This window comes from Homo sapiens, chromosome 5 (assembly GCF_000001405.40).
Source record: "Homo sapiens chromosome 5, GRCh38.p14 Primary Assembly".
Classification (NCBI taxonomy): domain Eukaryota; kingdom Metazoa; phylum Chordata; class Mammalia; order Primates; family Hominidae; genus Homo; species Homo sapiens.
Genome location: NC_000005.10, coordinates 95,463,418 through 95,479,843, shown reverse-complemented (window position 1 = coordinate 95,479,843; position 16,426 = coordinate 95,463,418). Strand labels below are relative to the sequence as shown.

At 35.9% G+C, this 16,426-nt stretch overlaps 1 protein-coding gene across 2 annotated transcripts in view; it reads left to right on the top strand.

Moving 5' to 3' along the window:
* The window catches only part of SKIC3 (SKI3 subunit of superkiller complex), a 91,084-nt gene extending 75,134 nt beyond the window's left edge, over positions 1–15,950 (top strand). For both annotated transcript variants that reach the window (NM_014639.4, XM_047417937.1), the window contains exons 40-43: positions 1,402–1,554; positions 9,934–10,064; positions 11,855–11,978; positions 15,163–15,950. In NM_014639.4, coding sequence (NP_055454.1) covers positions 1,402–1,554; positions 9,934–10,064; positions 11,855–11,978; positions 15,163–15,237 — 483 coding nt within the window. In that variant the 3' untranslated portion in view covers positions 15,238–15,950. The remainder of the gene's footprint in view (positions 1–1,401; positions 1,555–9,933; positions 10,065–11,854; positions 11,979–15,162) is intronic.

The window sequence follows — 16,426 nt, the reverse complement described above, 5'->3', positions numbered from 1 at the left end:
CTTTTTGTTCTCCTTCAAGTTTGTCTTAGGTCTTTTGCATTTCCAAATGCAGTAGTCCTACCTTATCTGCGGGGGAGATGTCCCAACACCCTTAGTAGATGCCTGAAACCGCAAATAGTAATGAACTATACACACACACACACACACACACACACACACACACACACAATGTTTTTTCCTATACATACATGCATACCTATGATAAAGTTTAATTTATAAATTAGGCACAATAAGAGATTAACAACAATAATAATAAAAGTTATAACACTATATTATAATAAAAGTTATATGAATGTGGTCTCCCTCTTTCTCTCAGAGTATTTTATTGTGTTGTACCACAGGTAACTGAAACCACAGTTAAGGAGAGGGTCTACTGTAAATTGTTAATTCTCACCCAACAAAGCTCTGCTGGGATCTTAATTGAGATTGTTTAGAATCTACAGTTTAATTTGGGGACAATTGACAAAGTAATACTCTACTGAATATTTTCTGTCCACAAATGTGGTATATTCCTCTATTTAATTTAGTTTGAAATTTCTCACAGCATTGTTTTGCAATTTTCAACCTAGAGGTCTTTTATACTTTTGTGTTAAATTTATTTCTAGGTATTTGGTATTTTTTGTTGTTGTTCTGTTGTGTGTGTGTGTTTAAATCATTTCCAAACATTTAAAAATTCAGTTGATTTTTATACGTTGACTTTCCAGCACCTTGCTAAATTCACTTATTCTTTGAAAGGTTTTGGATTTTGTATATAGTTATGCCCCTTTTACTTTTTTCTTCCCAATATTTACATATTAAGGTTTTTTGTTGATTTGTTTGTTTTGCTTTATTGTACTGTCTGGAACCTTTAATACAATGTCAAAAGTGGTGATAAGTAAACATTCTTGTCTTCTTCTTACCTCAGGTAGAAAGCATTGACTATTTCATTACTAAGTATGGTGTTTGCTATAGGTTTTTATAAATATCCTTATCAGATTAAGAAGATTCTACTTTGAATATGCTAAGAGAGTTTTTTCTTAAAAAATAATGGGTCTTGAATTTTATTAAAACTTTTTTAATGGCATCTATTAATCTTTTTCTTTATTCTGTTAATGTGGTAGATTACATTGATTTTCATATATTAAGCCAACTTTGCATTCTTAGAATAAGCCCTAGTTGATCATTATATATTATTGTTTTTATATATTGCCGGGGTCAATTTGCTAATAGGCAGCTGTTGTTAAAAGAATTGGCAATATGACAGCCCTTTTTTGACCTGTAATTGTTTTTTGGGCACAGAACTTACCAATAACTAAAAACATTTTTACTACGACAAAGTTTATTGAATTTGTTGGAAGTAGGGGTAACAGACTGCATAATAAACTAAAATCCTTTGCCTCCTTCTCCTTTTTTGTTTCTTAGTGGCTGGCACATGTGTATCAATCCCAAGGAATGATGAGAGCTGCAGAGATGTGTTACAGAAAGAGTCTACAATTGGCATCCCAACGGGGCAGTTGGAGTGGGAAGCTCTCAAGTCTGTTGAGACTAGCACTACTTGCATTAAAAGTCTGTATGGTAAGATCATGTTATAATTATGATCATGAAAAATTGATTTTTTTATCTTTCTTTGACGTGAAGGCTTTTTACATAGTAATATTCAATTGAAGTCCTGTTGTTTCATTGTGTTCTAGTGTGGCTTCTTGATACACTTTGTATTTTGGGTTTGTGATGGACATAGAGCAACATAAATCTATAGACTACAGCAGAATATTGTCGATGTTTGGGGAAAAAAGATTACAGTTTTAAAAGTTGAATTATATTAGGATATACATTTTTGTTTCTTGGTGAAACAAATTGTATTAGAATTAAATTTAGCTACTCAACTGTGACAAAAATGTGTATAGTGAACATTTCAGTCATTCTCATTTCAATTCAACATTCTCTAAGAGGGATTTCTAGTAACTTATGACCTAACAAGCTATTTTCTGATACCAATTTACGTATATGAATCTGAAAGTTTTACATGCTGGTAGGGAAAATTTGTCAAGATACATGTTTAAGTGGGAGTGAGGGCAAACTGCAGAGCAGGATGTATGATATAATTCTAATGGAGTGTTCATATATGTGGTATGAATTTTTAAGAATGTATATCTCTAAATATACCATGTGTGTTTGTGCATATGCTTAAAGCATGAAGATGTAATTATATGGAAACATATATAAGAAATATAATGGCAGTTATTTGGAGAAGGGGACTGGGGGTTTTAAAGGATAGTAGAGGAGAATTTTTCATTTTATATCTTTTGATAGTGTTTGGATTTTTTTGTCGTTCCTTATTATTTTGTAATTAAAAGTTAAATTGTTATTCTTTTGGTTTTACATGGTTAGAAGAAATTATCCTAGACAGCCCTAAAGTAACTCTTGTTTTTACCATAGTAATCCATGAGAATGTTAGTTACTCACTTTAACTAGGCATTTGACAATGAAATGTAGAATTAGGCCTTTTTTTTTGCTTTGGTGCCATTACTGTAGAGCACATTTAAGAGATTCTTATGTCAGGGACTATTTCTGTTCATTTTTGCTTCCTTGCTCTGTCAGTCTGCCTTGTGCATAGGGGGTTCTCTATAAATGGTTTTGAGTGAATGGACAAATAATAATAATGTGGCCAACTAATTGTAGTTCACTATTTTATTTTGTTTGCCCCATATTTGTATATAACAAAGGTCTTTATGACCTTGGTAACTGGTGAGCCACAGAAGCTGCACATAGTACCTATAACATGCCCTTCAATATGTGAACTGGAGAAGTAGACACTCTTTTAGCATAACTTATTACTTTTTACTTTTCAGTATTATTTATTGATTTTTGTTGATGCTGGGAAATTAAATCTGACCTGGAATAGAACAAATTAATAATAGTTTTAACAATAGCAAACTATAGCACTTAGTCTGCGCTAGGTTCTATTATAAATGCTTTACTCTTATTAACTTATTTAATAATCACAATAACCCTATTTGACAGATGAAGAAATTAGCTTGCAGTTCAGTAATACCCATGTATACCTGTCCCCCTGAATCCCCCACCCCACCTTTACCTGTACTATACCACCGAAGTATTTTCTCTAAGAGCCCATGTTCTGGTTCTGCCATTTACTACCTGTGAAACCTTCAGCCAGTTAAACTGTTTAAAGCCCTTAGTAGTGGAGATCAGAATACCTATTTTACCTTCTTGTGGCATTGTTTGAATAATGAAGGAATGTTTACACATGCCTTTGTAAACCTTAAAGTGCTATCAATCCAATTTGTTCTTGAAAAAACATTTGACATCCAATAATTATAAAGGAATAAAAGGTATGCCATATTTCTATGGTAAACAGCTGGCAGTATGGGGAGGATGGATATATTAAAATAAGACATTTATAAAAGTCTTTATTTGAAAGTTTTATTATATGTGATAATATGTGATCTGGATGTAAAATTGACAAGTTGGCTAAGATACTAGATATCAGATTCCAAAGTGAGATATCAGATCAAGATAGATTGCTGTAGCATATAGAATCCTCCAGTATAACCTGAACTCAGCCTTGAGCCATGGGACATTCCAGTGCCCCCAGGGCTGCGGCATTCAACTCAGGAGTACAGAGCTGAGATCTGTGGCTGGCACTTGAGTTGGGGAGGAGCCCCTACCCTCAAGAGCTAAGAGGGGTGAGATGCATGGGTTCCTGGGCAAGGACAAGAGTGGGGCATGCCTCCCTTTGCAGGGCCAGTCCAGAAAAGTTTTGGCATATCTCCCTGTCATAGTCCCTGCACAAGGGGACCCAGCAACCCAAATCACCTAACAAAAGTAATGTGGGCATGGAGTGAATGATCAGAGGGGGCTTCCCCTAAGGCCCTGGAGCAGAGCTGGTGAGGTGGTCCTTTCTATCCTGTCCCCGCCATCACCACTGAAGAGCATGCCTGTGAATGTGAAGAAGTACAGAAGAGCCATGTGGCTAAGTGTTAGCCTAGTTACCCACCGTTACTCTTATGCACTAGCTATCTACTGGATTGCAGCCCAAACTACAACACCAAAAATTATCTTGCTAATGTATACGCCTGTGAAACCAAGTGCAAGAGTTCACCTTCACATAAAGATCCTGTACAGAGCCCTGGCTCTTTGGAAGCATCCAGAAATAAGCCAACTGACTATACTCAATTTATACCACAGTTAAAGGAACACCAACTGTATTCGTCTGTTGCATTGCTATAAAGAAATACCTGAGATAGGGTCATTTATAAACAGAAGAGTTTTAATTGGCTCATAGTTCCACAGGCTGTACAGTAAGCATAGCGACTTCTGCTTCTGGGGAGACCTCAGGAAACTTACAATCATGGTGGAAGGCAAAGGGGAAGCAGGCACGTCTTACATGGTCAGAGCAGGAGCAAGAGAGAGAGGGGGGATGTACCACAAACTTTTGAAAACCAGATCTCTTGAGAACTCACTCAGTGTATAGTACCAAGGGGGAATGGTGCTAAACCATTCATGAGAACTCCGCCTGCATGATCCAATCACCTCCCACCAGGCCCCACTTCCAACACTGGGGATTACAGTTCAACGTGAGATTTAGGCTGGGACACAGCTCCAAGCCATATCACCAACCCTCCCAGATGAGAAAGAATCAGCACAAGAACTCTGGCAATTCAAGCAGCCAGAGTGTCCCTGTACCTCCAAATGTAGCCTACTGGTTCCCCAGCAATGGTTCTTAACCAATCTGAAGTGACTGAAATGGCAGACATAGAATTCAGAATCTGGATGGCAAGGAAGCTTGTCAAGATTTGGGGGAAAGTTGTAACCCAATCCAAGGAATCCGGTAAAATAATCCAAGAGCTGAAATGTGAAATAGTCATCCTAAGAAAGAACCAAACTGAACTTCCAGAGCTGAAAAATTCACTACAAGAATTTCATAATACAATTGGAAGCGTTAAAAGAAGAATACATCAAGCTGAGGAAAGAATCTCAGAGCTCACAAAGTGGTTCTTTTAATCAATTCAGTCAGACAAAAATAATGAAAAGCGAATGTTTTAAAATGAACAAAACCTCTGAGAAATATGGGATTATGTAAAGAGACCAAATCTACAACTCATTGGCATTCCTGAGAGAGGATGAGCAACTTGGAAAATGTATATTAGTCCACAAAAATTTTCCTAAATTTGCTAAAGAGGTTGACATAGAAATCCAAGAAATACAGAAAACCCCAGCTATGTACTGTACAAGATGATCATCCCCAGGGCACATAGCATGAGATTTACCAAGGTCAATGCAAAAGAAGAAGAAGTCTTAAAGGCAGCTAGAGAGGAGGGTCAAATTACATACAGAGGAATCCCATCAGGCTAGCAGCAGACCTCTGCAGAAATGTTACGAGCTAGAAGCAGAAGAGTTTGGCACCTATTTTCAGCATCCTTTTTTCCTTTTTTCTTTTCTTTATTTTCTTGTTTTGAAGCATCCTTAATGAAAAGAAATTCTGACCAAGAATTTCATATCCCACGAAACTAAACTAAATAAGTGAAGGGCAAGCAAATACTGAGGGAATTCATTGGTACTACTACAAAAACAGACACATTGACCAATGGAATAGAATAGAAAACTCAGAAATAAAGCTGTACACCTACAACCATCTGATCTTTGACAAGGCTGACAAAAATAAGCAATGGAGAAAGGACTCCCCTATTCAATAAATTGCATTGGGTCAACTGGCTAGTCATTTGCAGAAGAATGAAATTAGACCCTTACCTTTCAGCATATATACAAACTAACTCAAGATGGATTAAAGATTTAAATGCAAGACCTCAAACTATTAAAATTCTAAAAGAAAACCTAGGAAATACCTTTTTTGACGTCGGCCTTGGCAAAGAATTTTTTGGCTAAGCCTCCAAAAGCAGTTGCAAGAAAAACAAAAATTGACAAGTGGGACCTAATTAAAGAGCTTCTGCACAGCAAAAGAAACTATGTACAGAGTAAACAGACAACCTACAGTATGGGAAATAAATATTCACAAACTATGCATCTGACAAAGATCTAATATCCAGAATCAATAAGGAACGTAAATCAGCAAGCAAGAAGCATAACCCCATTAACAAACAGTTAAAGGACATTAACAAACACTTCTCAAAAGAAGACATATAAGTGGCCAACAAACATATGAAAAAATGCTCATCCCTATTAATCATCAGAGAAATGCAAATAAAAACCACACTGAAACACCATTTCACACCAGTCAGAATGGCTATTATTAAAAAGTCAAAAAATAACAGGCTGGATGTGGTGGCTTATGCCTGTAATCCCAGCACTTTGGGAGGCCAAAGCGGGTGGATCACTTGAGCCTAGGAGTTCAAGACCAGCCTGGACAACTTGGCAAAATCCCATCTCTATAGAAAAAATTAGCCAGGCGTAGTGGCATGCACCTGTAGTCCCAGCTACTTAGGAGGCAGAAGTGGGAGAATCACCTGAGCTCGGGAGGTTGGGATGCAGTGAGCTGAGATCTTGCCTTCTCACTCTCTCCCGGGCCACAGAGCTTGAGACCCTGTCTCAAACAAACAAACAATAACAACAAAAATAACAGGTGCTGGTGAAGCTGCAGAGAAAAGGGAATGCTTAAATGCTTATATACTGTTGGTGGAGATGTAAATTAGTTCAGCCACTGTGGAAAGCAGTTTGTAGATATCTCAACTTAAAGCTACCATTTGACCCAGCAATCCTATTACTGAGTATACACTCAAAGGAAAATAGATCATCATACCATGAAGACACATGCATTCATGTGTTTATCACCGCACTATTCACAATGCAGAGACATGGAATCAACCTCGGTGCCATATAGTGGATTAGATAAAGAAAATGTGGTACATATACACCATGGAAATACTATACAGCCATAAAAAAAAGAACGAAATCATGTCCCCCTTGCAGCAACATGGATGGAACTGAAGGCCATAATTCTAAGTGAATTAACACAGGGACAGAAAATCAAATACGCATGTTCTCACTTGTAAGTGGGAGCTAAACATTGAGCACACGTGAACATAAACATGGGAACAACAGACACTGTGGACCACTGAGGGTGAAGGAGTGGGACAGGGATTGATAAACTACCTGTTGGGTATTATGCTCCCTAACTGGGTGCAATATACCCATGGAGCAAACCTGCACGTGTATCCTCTGTATCTGAAGTTAAACTTTAGAAAAAAAAAAAAGGCATCAGGAGAGTGGAGTTAGAGAAGGATTTGTGAAGACATTTCTTTGGAGAGGGCTGTTGCCTCACCCATTTTCCCCCTGGCATGCTTCTACAGACAGATACACACAAAGTTGAGGAAGGGGGTCCTACCAGAGAGAGGGAGGCTTCAATCTGTGTCCTCCGGGGTCCTGGAAGCATGTGTCTAGAAGCATATAAACAGGTATCTAACTGTTTCAGAGACGGTGGCACTCAGTCTTAGGTGTTAGGACAGAGAAGAGGAGAATTGCTAGCGTTTTAGAAAGTGATCCCATGTTTCTGGGAGAGAATGGTCAACAGTAGATTAATCCCAAGGGTAGGCAGGAGTATCTCCTTGTGCTATAGGGAGGAAGGAATGAAGGAGAGTTGCTGCAGACAGAATTAGCAACACTCTCAGAGTTTGTTAGATCCAGAAATGAGCAATGCCAGTGGTGAGAGTGGGTTGGTGTAGGAGTTATCCTAGATCCTGTTCACTAAGGCCACCTAGAGGGATGATGGGATGTCAGCAGAAAGGAATCTGAAGTTTCCACATTGCTAGAGGATGTGGAGAGAGTGAGAAGAATAGAATACATTTGCTAGATTAGTGGAACTGCAGATGAGCAGGGCTGGCTTCATGGGCATGCAGCCTCTGCAGTTACACAGGGCATCATACTTGATTTAATGTTCTGTAGTTGCTATCTTGAAACTCTTCGTAATTTTTCAACAAAGGGCCCTACACTTTATTTTGCACTGGGCCCCACAGCTTATGTTGCTGGGCCTGCAGATGAGAGACTACCCATGAAGTTGGGAGTCTCTGCTAAAGCCAGATTGAGAAAAAGAGCTTTAAATATCTGTCAACCCTGGAGAGCTTGGCACCACCTTACAATGGCACCAGTTAAATGCAAATTTCTAGTATTTCAGTAGGGTCCTGAAGCTACAATTAGCCACAGGAGTTGGCAGTACTAGGGAAAAGGAACCAGCCACCTGCTACTGCCTGTAACCATACTCTAGCCTGGGAGCTGAGGGGAATTGGGGCGGGGCAGGGAAGTATGTGCAAATATTACTTTTCAGCAAAGACTGAAGTGTTGAAAAAAAAAAGAGGACATTCTAATTGAGACTGTATTTGTGGATGAATGTAAGAAAAATGGAATAAGACTCATGGGGCCTAATGTAATTTACATCCAGGGACACAGAAAAAGTATCTCTCAAATAAATGTTGAACAGGTAGTGGGAAAAGAAAACAGAAGTGCATTCTGATCACTTTGTTTAATATGCCAGGTATATATAGTAACTTTTTCCTTATAAAGTCATCTTTGGGCTAACTTTACAGAGTGTTTTATATGATTTCATAGAATTTAGAGAGTATATTATTAAAAGCATCCAGTGAGAGTTTTATGTTACTGGTTTTTAGTAAGATGTTAAGAATAATTGTATTAGAATGTGCTTTGCCTTACTTTCTTTGTCAGATGTACCCAAAGTAGCCACTATTTATAGAAGATGCATCATAACCACTATTGTCTATTTTCACATTCATTATAGCTTCCTCTTACTTGATTATACAAATTGCTATTGCCTATACTGCACTCAGAGATAATTGCTCTAATTTTTGTTATATAATTTAATGTTTGAAATAGACTATATATATTGACTCACTATATTGACTTTATTAAAATACATATTTTAGATACTTGTGGTTATGAAATCTTCGTCAAAATTTGAGATTTTTTAAATGAAACTTTTTAATGCATTTTTTTCTCTTTACATAATTCAGTAAAGTGTTCATCACTTTAGTTTGTTACTGTTTCTTCAGAAATACTTACCTTTGTTATTTCTGAGTCAGTACCTAATATGAGAGAGAATAAAGCTTGTAACCCAAGTAATATATAGATACATTAATATCTTAGCCATAAAGTAAAATTTTTAAAAAGTTTTTAGTACTGATTACTTTGATTTAATACCTTTATCTCTGATCTGTTTTGTACTTTTTTATATTGGGAGTTTATTAAAATACTTTATTTCAGCCTTTCCTCTCTCCTTAGATAATTTTTGAAATGTAGAACTCTATATTTATCACTACCAGTTAAAGAATCAATTATGTTAAATTGAGTTTTGTATATTTGGTAGACACAAGACTGATAGATTTTATTCACCTATGTAGTATAATAGTGCATTTTCTTTAAACAAATATTTTAGTGTTTTTTAAATATCTCCTCTTTGAAAACCTCCTTTATCCCAGTCTACCCCATTTTATAGCTCCTTTAGAGCAGGGATCAGATCTTAAATCTCTTTGTAGTAATTATACTCTTTGTATTATTTATATGGTGACGGGCTCAAATAGGTACTCAATAAGAATTGAATTGTTGGCCGGGCGCGGTGGCTCACGCCTGTAATCCCAGCACTTTGGGAGGCCGAGGTGGGCGGATCACGAGGTCAGGAGATCGAGACCATCCTGGCTAACATGGTGAAACCCCATCTCTACTAAAAATACAAAAAAATTAGCCGGGTGTGGTGGCGGGCGCCTGTAGTCCCAGCTACTCCGGAGGCTGAGGCAGGAGAATGGCGGGAACCTGGGAGGCAGAGCTTGCAAGTGAGCCGAGATCGCGCCACTGCACTCCAGGCTGGGTGACAGAGCGAGACTCCGTCTCAAAAAAAAAAAAAGAATTGAATTGAATACTTTTCAAATAAATATGCCAAATCTTTGAGTTAATATTTGTCTTATATTTTTATAGGCTAACATTTCCAATGATCACTGGCCATCTTTGGTTCAAGAGGCTACAACTGAGGCCTTGAAGCTTTGCTTTTGTCCACTGGCTGTTCTTTTACAAGCTTTGTTACAATTCAAACGCAAAATGGGGGCAAGGTATGAAGAATCTTCATCTTTTTCTTATAAATGCTTCTTCACTTTAAATCTTTCTAGGAAATAATCAAGGAAAGATTATAAACTTTAAAGTTTGTAACAGACCAATTTAACAAACTTTGGGGGGTATTTATATATCTGTATCTACTTTGGAAGAACTGGTTCCAGAAATCCAGTAAGGGAGAAACAAAGCCTTATATTTGTTTAAAAAGGCAATTTGATACATATTTATAGGGCATGAGGGGTTTGGCATGATAGCATTTCCAGTGAAGAAGGTCTTGGAGTTTTTGTTCTTCACTGTGTTAGGAGGCACCAACAGTGTGATGTGGGTTCTAGAAACAAACAAAACCAAAAGACCCCAACACAAGGCTACATTATCAGTTCTTGCTATTGTTATAAGCTATGAAAAAAGTAATAAATATTGAAAAGGCAGAGATATGTTGTTTATAAATGATGTGGTTTCCTATCTAGAAAATCCAAAAGCTGCTCTGATTAAAATACAAAAATTCTATAGCAATGTTTATGTTGAAAGAAGTGTACTTAAATTTGAAGAAAATTACTTAAAGATCATATGGGTAAAAAATACAGGCAAGAATACTTTAATATTTTGAAAATATCTAGTTCTAATATATACTACATATAATACAAAGCATCTGTAAGTAAAGCAGTGATTGAGGAGCAAACATCACTGGAACAGAATAGGTATGGTAGAAATGGAGGTTAGTACATATAAATATGTAGCAAAAGACACATCACAAAATAGGGATGGTGGAAGATTAAGACCATATGGCTGATTAGCAACTCCAGCACTATTTATTAACATTTATTTATTTGGGGCCATTTTTATGTGTGACTAATTTCACTAAGAAATGTTTTAGGCTATAATTTAAACTTCCTAATGAACTACTTCTGCTCATGCTCAGTGTTGGTAACTTAGAGAGTACTATCTCCCCTTCACCCCCTACCCCAATAATCTTTGTTAACACCTCCCATAATTTTTATCGCCTTCAAAACCTAGCCCAAATAAAAATGCAGTCTAAGAAAAATAACAACGTGCTTACTACGTGATCCCTCTGCAAAAGCATCTTCAAGACAAGTTATTTAGTTCCTGCTTCAAACTAATTGCTACTTAGAAGATCTTTCTGTTTAGCAGTTCTGAATATACTAATGGTTTATGTTGTTTTTAGCAGTACAGAAGTTTTGGAGTCATAGATGTTAGTAAATTAGGAAAGAAAAAATTAGAACACAGCTGTAAATCAGCCTGTTATTACATGGGTTTACATTATCATACACGTCCTTGAAAACATATGCTAAAAGCCTGATATGATATACATAGCCTGTAATGTAGACATTGAATATTTCTTGTTCCACTCTTTATCACCCTTGCATTATTTAGTGACTTATTTAGTTTCTGCCTACTTTTCAAAAAGATTGGAGGTAGAGCACTCAAAGTAGATTATAAAATAGCGACTGTCTCTCTGTTCTCTTTGGAATGAGGATAACTTGGAATAATTTACTTCTCTGCCATATAGGAATAATAACTACCTACCTAATAAGATTTTGAACATTAAATACAGCCATATGTATAAACATTTAGCATGGTACCTAGTGCATGATAAACACTCAATAGATATTAACCATTATTACCTTTATTGTTATCTGAATTAAAAAATCATAATCAGACACTACATCTGCAAAAATATGAGAAAGATAATGTGTGTGTGAGATTAGTATAGGAAATATCTTATGGTAATTTGCATGCTTTGGACTAAATGTAAATTTTTTTTTTCCAGAGAGACACGGCGTCTTTTGGAAAGAGTGGTATATCAGCCTGGGTATCCCAAATCTATTGCATCAACTGCACGTTGGTACCTACTGAGACACTTATATGCCAAAGATGACTATGAGCTTATTGACGTAAGGCATTGATTTTATTTAAAATGTTTGAGGCATTGATTTTATTTAAAATGTTTTATCTTTGATCTAAGGGTTTTAGAGTTATTGTTCAAAGTTACTTCACTTTTATGATTGAATTTTTAAAAACTGAGTGTGTAATTTTTTGGCTAATAAAAGACTACAATGTCTACTGTTACATCTGTTGAAAATGAGAAATATTTATGCATATGGTTTAAAGGTTAAATATACAGTTTGTATCTTACCATGGGTTAGTTATGACATTCTCCTTTCGATATTAGAACATCAAAAGCTGGGGCTCTTTGGCATAAATAACAGAACTGTTAAAACCTGTATTTAAAAAAAGTTTAATGTTGATTTAACCTGTATATGTACAAGATGCCTTTATATGGGGAAACTATACAGGTTGAGCATCCCTAATCTAAAAATCCAAAGTCTGAAATGCTCCAAAATCTGACACTTTTTGAGTACCAACAACCTTGGGGTCGTGATCAGTTGTGAAGCATGTTGTAAGTAATTAGATACTAACCAGAGGTGACAAATGGTTTTACTTTTTTATTTTCAGTAATAAAATATAATAGATTCATGGATATTTTTATATATCTCTCTATTAATGCGTTCCTATAAGCTTTTTTAAGTGAAAGAGAAGGGTAGAATTTTAAGGAGCTTGTCTAATTGCAGGACTTTATCTTTGAACCAATGAGAACATCACAAGTTTAAAAGTCATCCATTAAATGTACTGAGGTTTGTAAAGAGTTGCGAACTGCTGATCTAAAGCCCTTACCTAGTGAAGTTTATAACAATACAAATATATGACCATCTAAACCCAACCTAAAGCAGTATCAAAAATCAACATTTTCTTTCCCTTTTTTGGCCAGAAGGGAATGACTTAACTATACTTTCTTTCATATTATTTATTTACCGTTGTTATTTCTTTATAAATTGATGGATAAAATATTTTGTCCAGTTTTTTATAAACATTGGATTATTTTATAGTAAGGAAGCAAAGAAAAAGCCGTAAGAATGAAGCAATGAATCAAGAGTTTTTCCCAAAGCGACATTTGTTTAAAACTATACTTATTCATTCCTTTTCTTTTTTAAAGAAAGGACTCTAAAGAAGTTGAAGGTTTTAACTGTATTTAAGCAAGAAGCAAGGCTAAGTAAAAATGGCCAGCTGGTAAACCAAAGGAGAGAATGTCCATGCATGAATTGTCACTGGTCTTGTATTAACATCACAATGATTATACTATTTTTGCCTGCCTATATTTCTCTTTTCCTGAAACCAGGATATGATATACCCCTTATAGTCTTTTTAACCCAGAGTTTCTCATCTTCAGAGATCTCAACTCAACCTACTGAGATTGTGGAATGCACAATTTTTTCTTAGGTGTGGGTTGAGGGTGGGTACTGTCCTATGCAATGTTGGATATTTGGCAGTATCCTTGGTCTGCTAGGTGTTAGTTGTATTTTTGCAGCCATTGCAGTGGAGGCAAATAGGCAGATAGGATGGAGTTAGAGGTAACAGAATCCTAATGGAATGTTCGTATTATCTTTAAAAAAATTGTTTGCCTTATTCTTGCCTTTACTATAAAATACATGTGACAGTTTCTACTCTACTTCTCATGCTATGGCTCTGGCATCTAAATATATAAATATATATGTATCCAAAATTATTTTGAATAATGTAGAGAATATACAAATGTATTGGGTTAAAATTTTCATAGCTTTAGCCAACAATTTTAAAAACACAATGAAAATCACTGAAAAGCTTTTTCAGTACCTACAGCATTTTGAAATACTGTTTGCCTTTTGGTGAAACGTAAAAGCTGAAAGAAATAGTAAAGAAAAGAATGCTTGGAGAAAGGCATTGTAATCAACATATTCCAAATCAAAAAGGTGGAACATATATGAATGTTGGGAGACAGTTCGCCGTGGATCTCTTGCATTTCTAAATATCCTGTGAGCAGGAGGCCTGATTACTCTTTGTTCTAGTCTATCTTTTCAAAGATATTCGTATAGTGAACATCCTTGGAAGACAGAGATAGTATCTCCCTCCAGAACAAAGGGTAGATATTCCTGTCCATTATAAAAGATTAAGCATCCTAGGCTTAGGGTTCCCTTCTTGTAATGCAACCGACTGCATATGTGGGAAACTATATCAGTCCATCCACGTCACAGACTGAGAGGACAAGAAGAACAGAGGCAAATATGTTGATGTTCATGCTGTTTGCCGTACCTTGAATAATGAAGACTTTTCTCTGTGACCTAAAAATCCTGTATCTTCTGGCAGTATCTATGGAACTGTGGCAGGCTAACTTGTTAGCTTCCAAATAGAGCAGAATCTCAGACCCTTCACAGTGCTTGACAATGAACAACCAAAAAATGTTTTAGTATGAAGGATCAGCTGAAATTGAATCTTCTAGTTTGTGAAATAGGTAAAATCATGGAAAAGTTATTGATAAAGCCTAGAACCTATAGCCTAGATCCTGAGCTGTGGTTTCAAAGAGGAACAATTTCATTTGAACAGTTCTATGCATAAAGTAGTCTTTTTGAGTAAGAGTTTAGAGGTGACAGTATTATTAACAAAGCCAACAAACAAAACCTTTAATTTTATGCAGTGCTAATAACGATAGCAATCAGGCTGGGCGCAGTGCCTCACGCCTGTAATCCCAGCACTTTGGGAGACCAAGGCCAGCAGATTACTTGAGGTCAGAAGTTTGAGACCAGCCTCTGGCCAACATGGTGAAACCCCATCTCTACTAAAAATACAAAAATTAGCCAGGTGTGGTGGTGGGCGCCTGTAATCCCAGCTGCTTGGAAGGCTGAGGTGGGAGAATCTCTCAAACCCAGGAGGTGGAGGTTGCAGTGAGCCACCAAGATCAGACGATTACACTCCAGCCTGGGTGACAGAGAGAGATTCCGTCCAAAAAAAAAAAAAAAAAAAGCAATCAGAATGTTGGCATCTATACTAATTTGAATGAATTGTGCATCTCTCTGATGTTAGCTTCGTTTAAACAATTTATATCTGCAAAAGTGACTGAAAGATTGCACAGAGTCACTTTTCCTAGTATAGTTTGATGTTGCCTTTTCAAGACTGCCGCCCTTGGATTACTTGGCTTCAATGAATCAAAATATAGATATTGTTAATAAACAAAATACTGACGTTCCTGTATGTGATTTCCCATAGGTGCTGGTAAACAATGCCAAAACTCATGGAGATACAAGAGCATTGGAACTGAATCAGAGATTGTCCTCACAATAACATTGGATTATTTTATAGTAAGGAAGCAAAGAAAAAGCTGTAAGAATGAAGCAATGAATCAAGACTTCTACCCAAAGCAACATTTTTTTAAACTATATTTATTCCTTTTCTAAAGGAATCTAGAGAAGTTGAAGTTTTTAAGTTAGGAATGCAATTTTCTGTTAACTCCAAACCTGATTTTAATCTGAAAAAAAAAAAATTTAATTTGGGAAAACCAGAATGAAAGGAAAACCATTATTGCCTTGGTTGCTTAACATTATTTGTAAACCATTATTTTCTGCATCTTGCATGGTGCACAATAGAATATCTTTTACTGTAATCCCTTACAATAAAGCCTTAATAGCCATTTTCTATGTAATATGCAAAAGTAGATTAGCACAATGCACAATTTTCTTTTGTTAAAAATCAAATTCAAAGATTTAATTCTTGCTATGAATTCTAAAGTTCGGCAAACCAATTCATCATAAAATCCAAATAATCTTGTAACCTATTTATCTAGTGATTCATCTCCAATTCTGTTGAAAAAGCATAATATAAATGTTGATGAGACTAGACTCTAATGGATATGTTTATATAATTCCAAACACTCAGGTGTGTGAATGCATTTAAAAACATTAATGGAAAATAATGCTGATAATATTTAATTGATCATGCAATTCCTTCAATTATGATGGAAAGACTTGAACTTTCTGAAATAAAACAAAAATACAGCATCTTGTTTTCTTTATAGTGTCAATATCAGACATAATTTCTAAATTTCAAATTTTAAAACTTGAAAGCACAGTTATCTATTTTTTTAAGCTCTTTACATATTTGAAAAAACTGTCACTTTGGATTTGTGGTTTTAAAAATATTTTCAGACACTTACATATTTATTGTACAGAAAATATGTGGTTACGCGATTTATGTATGTGGCTTTTCTAAACCAGCAGCATCAGGATGTTACTTTTTAAGATAATATAAATTGACAATATCCTATAGTTAAGTTGTACTTCAGAGGTTAATAATTGAACTGAATTTTCATCTGGTGTTTCCCAAATCTGGCTGAACATTATAATCATTCATACCCATGCAATCAGAATCTTTAAGGATGGGGACAGGCCTAGGACTCTGCATTTTAAAGGTATGCCGAAGAAATCCTAATGTTTATTCAGATTTTCAAACTACTATATTACTCCAATGATGATTC